This window comes from Homo sapiens, chromosome 8 (assembly GCF_000001405.40).
Source record: "Homo sapiens chromosome 8, GRCh38.p14 Primary Assembly".
Lineage (NCBI taxonomy): Eukaryota > Metazoa > Chordata > Mammalia > Primates > Hominidae > Homo > Homo sapiens.
The window spans coordinates 103608888-103624702 of record NC_000008.11 but is presented as its reverse complement, the minus strand read 5'-3'; the positions used below and the strand labels follow the sequence as shown (position 1 = coordinate 103624702).

Genomic DNA, 15815 nt, shown 5'->3' with positions numbered 1-15815 from the left:
AGTAAGTCATCATATAAAAATGTTTGTGTATTAAATAGAATAAAATCCCACAAGCAAATGATATCCACTATTAATATTACCTATATACACATGTATAGCAAAGTTAGATTATTCCCTCAAGAATTTCACGGTGACAGTAAGCAAAAGAAATTCTTATAATAAACCTTGTCATATATATAAAGGGAGAGTTATTAGGAGGAATTGGCTCACATGATTATGGAGGCTAAGAAGTCCCACAGTCTGCCATTTGCGAGCTAGGAAATCAGTGGTGTAACTCAGTCAGAGTCTGAAGGTGTGAGAACTAGTGGAGCTGATGGTACAGATCTCAGTCCGAGGGTCTGAGAAGATGAGATGTCCTAGCTTAAGCAAGCAGGCAGGCAGCCAGCAAATGGGGAGAATTCCTCCTTCCTCTGCCTTTTATTTTCTTCAAGCCCTCAACTGATTGCATAATGCAACACACATTGGCAGGGCAATTCACTTTACTGAGTTCAGCCTTTCAAATGCTAATCTCAACTGGAAACACATTCACAGACACACCTCAAGATAATGTTTAATCTGGGCCCCCCTTGGCCAGTCAAGTTGACACATCAAATTAACTATCATAATGGGTTTTGTTTGTGGGTTTTGCTTACTATGGGTTTGTAGCTTTTAGCCTTTTAAACTAGAGAGGTCCTTAGAAGTGAGTCTCTTTTTACAATTAACATTAACTTAGTCTATTCTGGATTTAATTGACCATTTTTTCCCTCTTAAATTTCTTTTCTCTTAAGACACTGAGAAAAATCTCTCTTGTACCCTTGTGCTGAAGGTCATCAGAGGATATTTAGTTAATGTGATAGATCTCCCTAGAGGCAGAGGTCTGAACTTGATACTTGATGACCTCTAGTTCCTTCCTTTTTAAAAAAAAAAAATGAAGAGACCGGGCGCGGTGGCTCACGCCTGTAATCCCAGCACTTTGGGAGGCCGAAGCGGGCGGATCACGAGGTCAGGAGATCGAGACCATCCTGGCTAACACGGTGAAACCCCGTCTCTACTAAAAATACAAAAAAAAAAATTAGCCGGGCGTGGTGGCGGGCGCCTGTAGTCCCAGCTACTCGGGAGGCTGAGGCAGGAGAATGGCGTGAACCCGGGAGGCGGAGCTTGCAGTGAGCCGAGATCGCGCCACTGCACTCCAGCCTGGGCGACAGAGCGAGACTCCGTCTCAAAAAAAAAAAAAAAAAAAAAAAACTGAAGAAACCCTAGTTTAATTTTTATGTCTGTACCAAGGAAATGATTCAACATTTATTGAGAGCCAATTATTTGCCACACATACTACATATTTTTATCATTAGAAAATATTTCAAACATATAAAAAATTTTATATAGAAATAAAATGTGTTCTGTACTTTAATTTATTGTTTTACTTAATCTGAACTACCAGTCTATGAGGTAGCTATTGTACTCCCCATTTTTACAAATGTGTAATAAAATGGTTAAATAACTTACTAGGTATGAATGTTAGGGCTAGCATAAAACCTCAGTCTGCTTGACTCAGAAGCCCATACTCTTTCATATAAAAACTAGCAAAATCACATTGGGAGATCATGTTGCTTTTTTATTAACCTTCAATATGTCAGATCAAATTTGCCATCACCTGCATTTTCTTTGAGACTGTCTTATGGAACAAACAGAGACAGTTAGTGTCTTTCTTTACTCTTTTCAAGTTGTTTCAGAAATTCTCATTATTTTAAGTGCTCTCATATGTTGTGACAGCAGGTTCCTTTGACAGCCATCCTGTTCAGAATAAATAATCTGTGCTATGCCAGCATGATTTATTGCTGCTACTTCCTTTCTTTATGTTTTGAGTAATTTTATCACAAAAGGACATAAAGAGTTTTAGACATGTGCAAATGCCCGAGTGACTAGATCAGTTTCCCTGGCTGTTTAGCCAACTGCCTGTGGCTGGTGCTCCATTTGATAGCAGGGGGGAGAAGATAGGAGAGCATATAAGGTTATCAAATAAGGCAGATATACTGAATCACAGCACCCTTGTTGAACAGGTGGTGCTAATTGCAAATCCCTTTTCTTGAGGACTTTGAAAACGGAATGTGCATCTGTATGTATGAGATTGCTGAATCTATGACCTGGCTATAATCATAGGGTATATTGGGTGGTTACTTCTTTTTTAAACCAGATGGCATCTTAAAAATGTTACATATATTTAATTATATAAAAAATTGAAAAATAGAGACAGGAAAGATAAAATTCCCCACAATCTTGACACTCTCATTGAAATACTAGTAACATTTTTATGTGTTTTGTGTTTGTCTTTTTAAAATGTTATGCATTAAAAAAACACTTAGAGGTAATCTTCCAGATAATATCTTCACATTTCTTCTGGACTCAAGGTTTATATGACTTATAGTGATGATGCTGAAAAATTTCAGAATATAATGTATGTGTCATTGTTTGTATTCACTTAATCAGACATAGATACCCTTCTATGTGTTGCTCTACTTAAAATTATAAATTCTTATAATCCACTATAGCAAAAGTATTTTTTCTTTCTTCATAATTTACTTTTGTCTTCTCTTCTGTAAAGGGTAATAACCTTATTCTTTGTGAATAATTTTTATATTGTTAGAAATGTATTTTTCTCTACAAATCTCTAGAAATTAATGATAATTTTAAAAAATGATACTATGGCAAATCACAATATTTTTGGATTATTTTTATACACACAAGCATTAAATATATCATTTTGGAACCAATTATTTTTGGTTACCCTCATAGCCCAGTAAATTAAGTTGCTGTACTCATATTCTATCACTTAGGTACTTAGAAACAATAGAGAATTAATTTCAGTTTTATTTTTGCTACCATACATATATGATCAAAATGTGCATCAATGTCTCAAAAATACAACCATTTCTCCTACATCCATTCCTTCTGATGTTTGTGAATATTTACTGTGTGCCAAGCATTGTTCAAAAATTGTGGGTCCCAGAGATAAATGTAAAAAGTAAAGCAGAGGTTCCTCTTCAAAGACTTTCCTCTCCATCTAATTAGGAATAAACAGTAACTTCTCTTAGAAGCAAAATTTATTCAAAGACCTGTGCTAACATTCTTAAATATCTGCTAGACGTAATAAAGAAATCAATGAACTTTATGTTCTTAGCTCCCACAGTTTAGCCTAAATATTTGCCCTGGCATGCTTATACTGGTCCAAGCAAGCATTAGGTCATAGCCTATTCCTCTTCCTTATTTGAAGGTGTTTTTACCTTTCTCAGCATTCCACAAGTTACTTCCTCCTTCCTTTGTTCTCCTCTGCCTTTGCCTCTTTTAAAAAGTTCTAAGTTGCTAACCAATCGGGACAAATACAGAATGTGAGGTCCCGTTCCAGCCAATGGAAACCAGACACAGCAGTAGGGTGGGCACGTCAGGTTATCAATGACCCTGTCTCCTTTGTTCAGTGTACTCTTGTGGCAAAACTGCTGGTGGGTGTACCCTTTCTGCAGAAAGTAACAATGGCCTTGCTGAGGAAATTAAATTTATGTTCAAGTGCTATTTCTTTATGGCAATAAGGAACAAGCATTTCTAACATAAATAAGACATAATCCCTACTTTCAGGGAACTCACATAAAATTATTAGGACATCATGTGTAATATTTATTTGGCTATGTTTTTCAATTTACTGTTTTATTATTTTTATTTAAATTTCATTTATTTAGTTTCAAATATATAATATAGTCACATAGTTCAAAAGTTACAAAAAGTATGCAGTGAAATTTTCCTTCCCACATCTTTGTTCTATCCACCTATTCTTCTCCCTTAGGATAATATGTTCACAGTAAATACTTAAAAGGACAATTTTTTAAATTTTGAAAAGAAAATTTAGTTTTGAAAAGGGTGTTCTTATTTACTGAGTAACCACTATATGCCAGGCACTTTCTACATAAATTATTTAATCCACTTAATATCCTTTATCTGGTATTATCACAATTTTATTAATTATAAACAGAAACTCAATGAAATAAAGTTCCTGATGATCACATGAATACCAAACAATGTAACTAAGAATCGGGACTAGGTCTGTCTAAATTCTCCTTTGCCCATTCTCTTTGCACTCAGCTATCTTACACAAAATTAATGTTTTGGAATTCCAGCTGTTTACATTAATCGGTTGCTTTCATTTTTCCCTCAGATGATGGATAAAAAACAGGTTTTCACCCCAAACTAATAATGATAAGCTTGAGTAAGTAGTCATAGAAATTTAGGCATTTTTTTTTAAATTATAGCTTTTAAATGATGCGGTCAACATTTAGTTGTTCATATTGAAAAAAAACAAGAATTAAAAGTAATTTGGTGTTGAGTTTTCATTATGAGTTTATTGTCATATATATGTTTAACTTAGAAAAAAAATTTAAGCTTGTATTCCCTGAGCAAATATCATCTAGCAGTGAAGGAACATCTTTGGTGTCAGAGGAAAAACAATTTCACATTGAAAAGTTGCCATGTATACAACCTGGATAGATTATTGTAACATTTATTGACTACTTTTAATATGGAAATTATTTCAGCATTCATTGACAACCACTTTATTAGCCAACAGTTTGACAAATGTTACCTTATTATTCATAAGTATAGTGGCTCATTGTCATAGGCAAGGGTGGTGACAGCTAGAGCTTAGGAGCAATAGTTTCTAAAACACTAGTCTGTTTGTTATAGGTAAAATGCAAAAATAAGTCCATTTATAGATGTATATAGATGTTAAAATATTTGGCATCATACAGAAAATTATGTGTTTGTTTCATAGACATGTTCATATTTTCCCTTTGAGTATTTCCAGCTATGTACATACATCTTGTAGCAGAAAAATACATAGCCTTTTCTAGGAACTGTTATAAAAGTAGAGTAGCCAAAATGCGGATTAAAGGGAGAATCCTGTGTGCAAGCAGTAGTAGTGGTAGCTTTGAGTACTGATGGTAGAGGTGAAGGAAGCGAGAAAATGGTTGGTCTTTGTTCTGTGTTATTTCATTTAGGTTTACATTTACACAGAGAGTAGAAGTCTTTCTCTATGTGATCTGTTTTCTTCTCCTGCCTCCTTTTTGTAGTTCTGATTTATTTTACTGCTCTTTCTTTTCTTCCCCACTGTTTACCAACCTTGAATGCAGAAGATTTTTTTCTGCTGCTTAAAAGTTTGATTTTGATTTTGTTCTCAGAATATTTTTCCTTAATTCAGATGCAAATATTGGGAATTTCCCCAATATTCCAAATATTTATTTATATATCTTTACTTCTTAAATATGTTAATATCTACATAATTTCTCTAATAAGACAAATATTTAAGTATATTTTCATGATTCTTTGATGTACAACTACTCTCCCTCAACCACAATGTTGATATCATCTAGAATTTTAGCTTAGTTTTTAAAAAATACAACTTTGTTTTTTTTCTGAAATAGTTTTTACAGAACAGACACTAATAAATTTTACTAAGATACTTTTCTAAGATACTCTTACTTCATATATTTCTTGCCATATCTCTTGGTTTTGGTTCTCTTGTTACTTGAGAGCTTTTTCTCTTTTCAAGTACTCACTGTTTTCCATATTGGTTTTTTTTTTTTTTTTTTCAGCAAAAAGTGAAGTTATTGACTCATGTAATAGGGGAGCATATCCAGGAGTGGATTGGCTTCAGGCATATCTGGATCTAGAAGTTCAAACATTGTCATTCAAGCAACTTTTATTTCTCTACCTTTTTGCCTCTCTTTATCTGTTCTACAGACAAGTTCCTTCTATGTGGTAGTCAAGATGGGTGTCAATATCCCTGAATTGAATTCTCAAGCTTAGCAACCACGAGTGAAAATAGGTTTGTCTTCCAATATCCTTGCATTACCCTCAGAGAAAACTCTCATTTGCTCCACTTGAGTCATGTGTTCATTCTTAAAGTAGTCCCCCAGCTGGGAAGACAGTACATGTGAACTGAATGATCTGGGTGAAGTACTCATCTGTGTGAAGATGACAGGATACTACCATTGAGAGGCCCCTAAGGAAACATGTAGTCAGGGAATACTTTCTCTAGAGGAATCAGAAGAAGAGGGGTGGGAAATGGGATGGATAGACAAAAGTCATAGTTATTACAGCCTTGAAAATGGTCTCACACAATAATTCCCTTCCTCTCATTCTACCAGATTCTCCCTTTTTTGCAACTGTCTGGGTCTCTCCAGCTTCAGGAAACTTCTTTGAATCCTGTCCCTACTCTAGTGTCTTTTCCAGCATACACTGGCTGTACTGCCAATTTACAAATTAATGATATGCTGTACTGTGTTCTTCCTCAACCCATTTCCTGAGGGTTTCTGTAATAGCTATCTTTTCTGCTCCTTTCCCTCCTCCCACCCTCCCCATTCAAGTAGATCCTAGTGTTTGTTGTTTCCTTCTTTGTGTTCATTAAGTTATAATTTAGCTTTCTCTTATAAGTGAGAATATGTGGTATTTGGCTTTCTGTTCCTGTGTTACTTAGCCTCCAGCTCCATCCATGCTCCTGCAAAAGATATGATCTTCATTTTTCATGGCTACATAATATTCCATGGAGTATGTGTACCACATTTTCTTTATCTAGTCTGTCACTGATGGGCATTCAGGTTGATTCCATGGTCTTTGCCATTGAGAACAATGCTACAATGAACATTTGCATACCTGTGTCTTTACAGTGAAATGATTTATATTCCTATGGGATTGCTGGGTCAAATGGTATTTCTGCTATTAAATCTTTGAGGAATTGCCATATTGCTTTCCACAATGGTTGAACCAATTTACACTCCCACCAACACTTTATAAGTTTTCCATTTTCCCTGCAACCCTGCCAGCATCTGCTATTTTTTGACTTTTCAGTAACAGCCATTCTGACTGGTGTGAGGTGGTATGTCATTGTGGTTTTGATTTACATTTCTCTAATGATCACTAATACTGAATTTTTTTCATATGCCTGTTGACCGCATATACATCTTCTTTTGAGAAGTGTCTGATCATGTTCTTTGCCCACTTTTTAATGGGCTTGTTTTTCTCTTATAAATTTGTTAAAGTTCCTTGTAGATGATGAATATTAGACTTCGTCAGATGCACACTCTGCAAATATTTTCTCCCATTCTATAGGCTGTCTGTTTACTCTGTTGATAGTTTCTTTGGCTGTGCAGAAGCTCTTCAGTTTAATTAGATCACATGTCAATTTCTGCTTTTGTTGAGATTGCTTTTGGTATCTTTGTCATGGAATCTTTCCCCATTCCTGTGTCCAGAATGGTATTGCCTAGGTTTTCTTCCAGGGTTTTTATAGTTTTGGGTTTCACATTTAAGTCTTTAATCCATCTTCAGTTGAATTTTGGGTATGGCATAAGGAAGGAGTCCAGCTTCAATCTTCTGCATATGGCTAGCCAGTTAACCCAGCACCATTTATTGAATAGGGATTCTTTTCCCCATTTTTGTCAGTTTTGTTGAAGATCAGATGGTTATAAATGTGGGGCCCTATTTCTAGGCTCTCTATTCTGTTTCATTGGTCTATGTGCCTCTTTTCACATCCATACCATGCTGGTTGGTTACTGTAGCCTTGTAGTATGGTTTGAAGTTGGGTAACGTGATGCTGCCAGCTTTGTTCTTTTTACTCAGGATTGCCTTCGCTATCTGGGCTTTTTGGTTCCACATGAATTTTAAAATAGATTTTTCTAGTTTGTGAAGAATATCATTGGTGGCTTGGTAAGAATAGCACCAAATTAATAAATTGCTTTGGGGAGTATAGCTATTTTAATGATACCGATTCTTCCTATCCATGAACATGGGATGTTTTTCCATTTGTTTTTGTCTTCTCTGATTTCTTTGAGCAGAGTTTTGTAATTCTCATTGTAGAGATCTTTTACCTCCCTAGTTATCTGTATTCCTAGGTATTTTATTTTTTGTGTGGCAATTGTGAATGGTATTGCCTTTCCGATTTGGCTCTCAGATTGGTTATTGTTGGTGCATGGAAATACTAGTGATTTTTTTTTACAATGACTTTGTATCCTGCAACTTTGTTAAAGTTGTTTATCAGCTGAAGGAGCTTTTGGGCCTAGACTATGGGGTTTTCTAGATATAGAATCATGTTGTCTGCAAATAGAGATAGTTTGACTTCCTGTCTTCCCATCTGGATGCCCATTATTTCTTTCTCTTGCCTGACTGCTCTGGCTAGGACTTCCAAAACTATGTTGAATAGAAGTGGTGAGAGAGGGCATTCTTGCCTTGTGTCAGTCTTCAAGGGGAATGCTTCCAGCTTTTGTCCATTCAATATAATGTTGGCTGTGGGTTTGTCACAGGTGGCTATTATTATTTTGAACTATGTTCTTTCATTTCCTAGTTTATTCAGAGTTTGTAACATGAAAAAATGTTGAATTTTATCAAAAGCCTTTTCTGCATCTATTGAGACAATCATGTGTTTTTTTGTCTTCAGTTTAGCTTATGTGATGAATCATATTTATTGATTTTTACATATTGAACCAAACTGGCATCCTGGGGATGAAGCCTACCTGATTATGATGGATTAGCCTTCTGTTGTTCTGCTGGATTCAGTTTGCAAGTATTTTGTTGATTTTTACATCAATGTTCATCAACAATTTTGGCCTGAAGCTTTCTTTTTTTTATCATGTCTCTTCCAGGTTTTGGTATCAAGATGATGCTGGCCTCATAGAATGAGTTGGGAGATGTCCCTTCTCCTCGATTTTTTCAAATAGTTTCTGTAGGAATGGTACCACATCTTTTTTGGACATCTGGTAGAATTTGGCTGTGAATCCATCAGGTGTTGGGCGTTTTTGGTTTTCAGGCTACTTACTACTGATTCAATTTTGGAGCTCATTATTGGTCTGTTTGGGGAATCAATTACTTCCTGGCTCAGTCTTCGGAGGGTGTATGTGTCCAGGAATTTATCCATCTCTTCTAAGCGTTCTAGTTCGTGTGCATAGAGGTGTTTGTAGTAGTTTCTGATGGTTGTTTTTATTTCTGTGGTGTCAGTAGTAACATTCCTTTCATCATTTCTAATTGTGTTTATTTGGATGTTCTCTCTTTTCTTATTAGTCTAGCTAGTGGCCTATTTTATTAACTTTTTAAAAATCAACTCCTGAATTTGTTGATCTTTTGAATGATTTTTTGTCTCTTGCTTTTCTTCCTCAATTCATCTCTAATTTTTGTTATTTCTCATCTTCTGCTAGCTTTGGTGTTGATTTGTTCTTGCTTCTCTAATTCTTTCAGTTGTGAAATTAGGTTGTTAATGTGAGATCTTTCTAACTTTTTGATGTCGGCATTTAGTGCTATGAATTTCCCTTTTAACACTGTCTTAGCTGTGTCTCAGAGACTCTGGTAAGTTGTATCTTTGTTCTCATTATTTTCAAAGAACTTCCTGATTTCTGCCTTAATTTCATTATTTACCCAGAAGTCATGAAGGAGCATGTTGTTTAATTTCCATGTAGGTTTTGAGCGATTTTCATAGTCTTGACTTCTATTTTTATTGCGCTATGGTCTGACAGTGTGCTTGGTATTATTTCAGTTCTTTTACATTTGCTGAGGATTGTTTTATGTCCAATTATGTGGTCAATTTTAGAGCAGTAAAGGGTACATTTTAAAAAGATCTTTATTATGCTAATTATAGCCAGTAAGAGCAAATAATATAATATAAACATAATTAAAAGATAAAAGCTAATTAGCATTGGATGTGAAACAGAGAAATGTAATGAGATAGAAATTTCTCCAATAAATGCCAATTCAACTGTAAAGTCAAAAGTTTAATATGTGTTAGAAATGTGTCACAAAAATCTTCATATAAAGGGCAGTGAACATCATATTAGGTAATGTCCTCAACAGCACTGTCCCGAAACATGTATTAATAGAAATATGACATAGCTGTTAATTTCATGCGACTTCTGCAACTGTTACAAGCATAATATTCAATCTTTTTATGGAGGTAGAAAGATATACTAAGATATACTCCTTTGTGATGATCACTTTCATTATAAAGATTAATTTTGGAAACTTGAGTAGAAAGGAGGGTTGCTGTACTCACCACGATTTGAGAATACAAGCTCTGGAGGAAGGCGGAGCAAGATGGCAGAACAGAAGACTATGCCATTTGTTGCCCTGCATGAATACCAAATTCCAACAATGATCGGCACACACAAAAGCACTATCTCAATAACCAAAAATCTAGTGAGCAATCACAGTAACTGGCTTTAACTTTGAATCATTAAAAGGGGCATGAGAAGGATCAAAGAGACAGTCTTAAATAGCCAGTGCCACACCTCTCCAATGCACTAGCAAAGGCCATGCAGCACAGAGTCTGTGCACTTAGGGAAGGGAGAGCATAGTGACTGGGGGACATTACACAGATCTCAGTATTGCCCCATCATAGTGGAGAGCAAAGCTGTGCTGGGCTCCGCCAGTGCCCATGCATGGAGAGAGCAAACGGACCAGACCTGGCCAGGGGGAAATTGCCCAACCCAGTGGTCAGAACTCAAGTTTCTTGGCAAGACTTACCACAGGCAGAAGTACTCTAGGATCCTAAATAAGCTGAAAAGACAGTCTAGGACACAAGGACTGCAATTCCTAGGCAACTTCTAGTGCTGGGATGGGCTCAGAGCCAGAGGACTAAGGAGGCATGTGACCTATGGAGACACCAGCCGGGGTGGTTAAAGTAGTGCTTGCACCATCCCTTCCTGAACACCCAACACGGTAATAAAAGTGTTTCCTTCCTGATGCTTAACAGGCAGAGAGAGAAAAGTAAAAAGAAATTTGTCTTGAACCTTGAATACATACCTACTCAGCCACAGCAGGACAGGGCACTGAAAAGAGTCATGAGGCCCCCATTCCTGACCCTAGCTCCCAGGCAACATTTCTAGACACACCCAGGACCATGAGTGTGTCTTGAAGGAAGAATCCAGTACTAGCTTTGGCAGGATTAATCACGTGCTGACTCTTAAGGAGCCCTTGGTCCCGGAATAACCAGCAGTGATACCCAGGTAGTATGCCATGGGCCTTGGGGTCTGAGACGCACTGACTATAGGACATTCCCAGCTGCGGTGGCTATAGTGAAATACTTCTGTTTGATAAAATTAGAGGGAGACCTAAAGGAAACTATGTCTTGCATCTTAGGTACCAGTCCAGGCACAGTGGGGTAGAGCAATAAGTAGGTTCATGAGGTCCCTGAGCCCAGGCTTAGGCTCTTGGAGAGAATTTCTGGACCTGCCCTAGGCCAGAGGGGAGCCCACTGCCCTGAAGGGTGAGTCTCACACATGGAAGCATTCACCACAATTTTATGGAAGAGCCCTTGGGCGTTAAGTGAACATCAGTGATGGCCTGGCAGAATCTTCCCTACCACCTCAGTGGGCTAGGGTTAGTGTGCCCACAGGGATAGACTCCTCTGCCCATTGAAGGGAGATGGGAGAGTGAAAAGGACTTTATATTGTGGTTTAAGTGTCACCTTAGCCACAGTAGAATACAACATCAGACAAATTCCTAAGGTTTTTGACTCCAAATCCTAGCTCCAAGAAAGCATCTCTGGACTCAACCAGGGCCTGGGAAAATGCACCACCCTGAAGGAAAGGACCCAAACCTGTCTGCCTTTACCATCTGCTAATTGTAGAGCCCTAGGGGTTTGAGTACACATAGGTGGTAACCAGGGACTTAAGTAAGACCCAATGCTCTGTTGGCTTCAGGTCTGACCCAAAGCAGTATCAGTGGTCGTAGCCACAAGAGTGCTTGCATCAACACACAACCCAGTTCCAGGTGGCTCAGCACAGAGAGAGACTCCATTTGTCTGGAAGAAAGTAAGGTAAAAGAACAAGAGTCTTGGCCAGGTGCAGTGGCTCACGCCTGTAATCCCAGCACTTTGGAGGCTGAGGCAGGCGGATCATGAGGTCAGGAGTTCGAGACCAGCCTGGCCAACATTGTGAAACCCTGTCTCTACTAAAAAATCAGCCAGGCATGGTGGCACGCACCTGTAATCCCAGCCACTTGAGAGGCTGAGGCAGGAAAATTGCTTGAACCCAGTAGGCGGAGGTTGCAGGGAGCCAAGATGGCACCATTGCACTCCAGCCTGGGTGACAGCACAAGATTCCGTCTAGAGGGGGGAAAAAAAGAAAAGGAACAAGAGTCTCTGTCTAGTAATCCAGAGAATTCTTCCAGATGTTATACAAGGCCACCAAAGTGGTACCTGTATGAGTCTGCAAGAACCACGGTGGTATTGGGCCTAAGACCCATGTCCATTCAAATACCTGAAACACCTTCTCAAGAAAGACAGGTAGAAACAAGCCCAGACTGTGAAGACTACAATAAATACCTAACTCTTCAATGCCCAGAGACCAACAAACATCTACAAGCATCAAAACCATCCAGAAAAACATAACCTCACCAAACAAGCTAAATAAGGCACCAGGGCCCAATCCTGAAAATAGAGAGACATGTGACCTGTCAGACAGAGAATTCAATATAGCTATTTTAAGAAAACTCAAAGAAATTCAAGATAACACAGGGAAGGAATTCAAAATTCTATCAGATAAATTCAACAAAGAGATTAAAATAATTTTAAAAAATCAAGCAGAAATTCTAGAGTTACAAAAATGCAACTGACATGCTGAAGAATGCATTAGAGTCTCTCAGTAGCAGAACTGATCAGGCAGAAAAGAGAATGACTGACCTTGAAGACAGCTATTTGAAAATACATGCTCAGAGAAGACAAAAGAGAAAAAAAATAAAAAACAATGAAGTATGCCTACAAGATCTAGAAAATAGACTGAAAAGGGCAAATCTAAGAATCATTGGCCTTAAAGAAGAGGTAGAGAAAGAGATATAGATAGAAAGTTTATTGAAAAGGATAATATCAGAGAACTACCCAAACTTAGAGAAAGATATGAGCATTCAAGTACAAGAAGGCTATAGAACACCAAGCAGATTTAACCCAAAGAAGACGATGTCAAGGCATTTAAATAAGCAAACTCCCACAGCTAAAGGATAAAGAAAGGATCCTAAAAGCAGGAAAAAAAAAAGTAACAAATAACATACAATGTAGCTCCAATATGTCTGGTGGCTGACTTTTCACAGGCCAGGAGAGAGTGGCATGACATATTTAAATAGCTAAAGGAAAAAACGTTTACCCTAAAATACTACATCTGACAAAAAAAAAAAAATTCCTCCCAACACAAACAAAGGCTGAGGGATGCATCAACACTAGACCTATCCTATAAGAAATGCTAAAGGGTTTTCTTGAATCTGAAAAACACAAATGTTAATGGGCAAGAAGAAATCATCTGAAAACACAAAACTCACTAAGCATGCAGAAAAAAACAAAATATTAAAACACTGCAACTGCTGTATCTCAACTCCTCTTAAGAAGAAAGACTAAGTGATGAACCATGAAAATAATAATCATAACAATAATCTATCAAGACATAGTATAATAAGACATAAAGAGAAACAACAAAAAGTTTTAAAACAGGGGAATGAAATAAACACAATTAGAAATGACAAAGGGTAAATGACCACTAACCCCATAGAAATACAAAACAAAACAAAACAAAAAACCCTCAGGGACTACTACTACAAACACCTCTATGCACACAAACTAGAAAATCTAGAAGAAATGAATAAATTCCTAAAAACATACAACCTCCCAAGACTGAACCAGGAAGAAATTGAATCCCTGAACAGGCCGATAATGAGTTCGATAATTGAATCAGTAATAAAAATCCTACCAGCTCAAAGAAGCCCAGGCCCAGAAGGATTCACGCCTGAATTCTACCAGATGTATAGAAAAGAGTTGATACCATTCCTATTGAAACTATTCCCGAAAATTGTGAATGAACTCCTCTCGAACTCATTCTATGAGGCCAGCATTATCCTGATACCAAAACATGGCAGACACATGACAAAAGAAAATTTCCAGCCAATATCTTTGATGTACATAGATGTAAAACTCTTCAACAAAATATTAGCAAATCAAATCCAGCAGCACATCCAAAAGCTACTCCACCACAATCAAATTGGTTTTAGCCGTGGGATGCAAGACTGGCTATACAAATGCAAATCAATCAATATGATTCATCACATAAACAGGACTATAAACAAAGCACATCATTATCGCAATAGAGGCAGGAAAGGTTTTTGATAAAATTCAACATCCCTTCATGTTAAAAACCTGCAATAAAGTAGGCACTGAAGGAACATACGTCAAAATAATAAGAACCATCTATGACAAAACCACAGCCAACGTCATACTGAATGAGCAAAAGCTGGAGGCATTCCCCTTGAAAATCAGAATAAGACAGGGATGCCCTCTATCACCACTCCTATTCAACAAAGTATTGGAAGTCCTGACCAGAGCAATGAGACATGAAAAAGAAATAAAAGGCATCCAAATAGGAAGACAGAAAGTCAAACTATCCCCTTTGCATATGACATAGTTCTATATCTATAAAACCTCCCACTCTATCCCCAAAAGCACCTTGGTCTGATAAACAACTTCAGCAAGGTTTCAGAATACAAAATCAATGTACAAAAACCAGTGGCATTCCTATACACCAACAATGTCCAAGCAGAGAGCCAAATTAAGAATGCAGTTCCATTCGCAACTGCCACAAAATGAAGAAAATGCCTAGGAATACAGCTAATGAAGGAAGTGAAAGATCTCTACAATGAGAATTACAAAACACCACTCAAAGAAATCAGAGATGACATAACCAAATAGAAAGGCATTCCGTACTCATGGATGGGAATAATCAATATCATTAAAATGGCTATACTGTCCAAAGCAATTTACAGATTCACTGCTATTCTTATCAAACTACCAATGACATACTTCACAGAATTAGAAAAAAACTATTTAAAAATTCATACAGAAGCAAAAAAGAGCAGAAATAGCCACGGCAATCCTAAGCAGAAAGAACAAAACTGAAAGCAACACATTACCCAACTTCAAACTATACAAGGCTACCATAATCAAACAGCATGGAACGGTTACAAAGACACATAGGCCAATGGAACAGAGATAATGCCACACACCTACAACCATCTGATCTTGGACAAAGCTGACAAAAACAAGCAATAAAGGACTTCCTAATTAATAAAGAGTGCTGGGATAACTGACTATAGTGTTTGCAGAAAATTGAAGCTGGACCCCTTCTTTATACCATATCCAAACAGGAACTCAAGATGGATTAAAGAGTCAAATGTAAAGCCTGAAACTATAAAACTCTGGAAGATAGTCTAGGAAAGACCATTCTTAATATAGGACCTAGCAAGACTTCATGACAAAGATGCCAACAGCAATTGCAACAAAAACAAACATTGGCAAATAGAACTTAATTAAACTAAAGAGGTTCTGTACAGCAAAAGAAATTATCAACAAAGTGAACAGACAACCTACAGAATGGGAGAAAATATTTCCAAACTATACATCCAACGAAGCTCTAATATTCAGCACCTATAAAAAACTTAGACAAATCTACAAGCAAAAAACAAACAATTCCATTAAAAAGTGGGTAAAAGACATGAACCGGCACTTTTCAAAACAAGACATACATGTGGCCAACAAGCATATGAAAAAATGCTCAACATCACTAATCATTAGAAAAACGCAAATCAAAACCAAAATGAGATACCATCTCACACCAGTCAGATAGATATTATTAAAAAGTCAAAAAATGGGAGGGAGGAGCCAAGATGGCCGAATAGGAACAGCTCCGGTCTACAGCTCCCAGCGTGAGCAACGCAGAAGAAGGGTGATTTCTGCATTTCCATCTGAGGTACCAGGTTCATCTCACTAGGGAGTGCCAGAC

General features: G+C 37.3%; 1 protein-coding gene across 47 annotated transcripts in view, besides 1 other annotated feature; it reads right to left on the bottom strand.

Moving 5' to 3' along the window:
• RIMS2 (regulating synaptic membrane exocytosis 2) overlaps positions 1-15815 on the bottom strand; it is a 755485-nt gene that overhangs the window by 631392 nt on the left and 108278 nt on the right. The window lies entirely within an intron of this gene.
• Positions 145-908: an enhancer, noted in NCBI's record as "OCT4-NANOG hESC enhancer chr8:104636023-104636786 (GRCh37/hg19 assembly coordinates)". NCBI's record gives its function as "activates a minimal SCP1, AML or CMV promoter by ChIP-STARR-seq in naive and primed H9 embryonic stem cells {active_cell/tissue: H9 hESC(naive and primed)}" and the evidence as "EXISTENCE:reporter gene assay evidence [ECO:0000049][PMID:30033119]".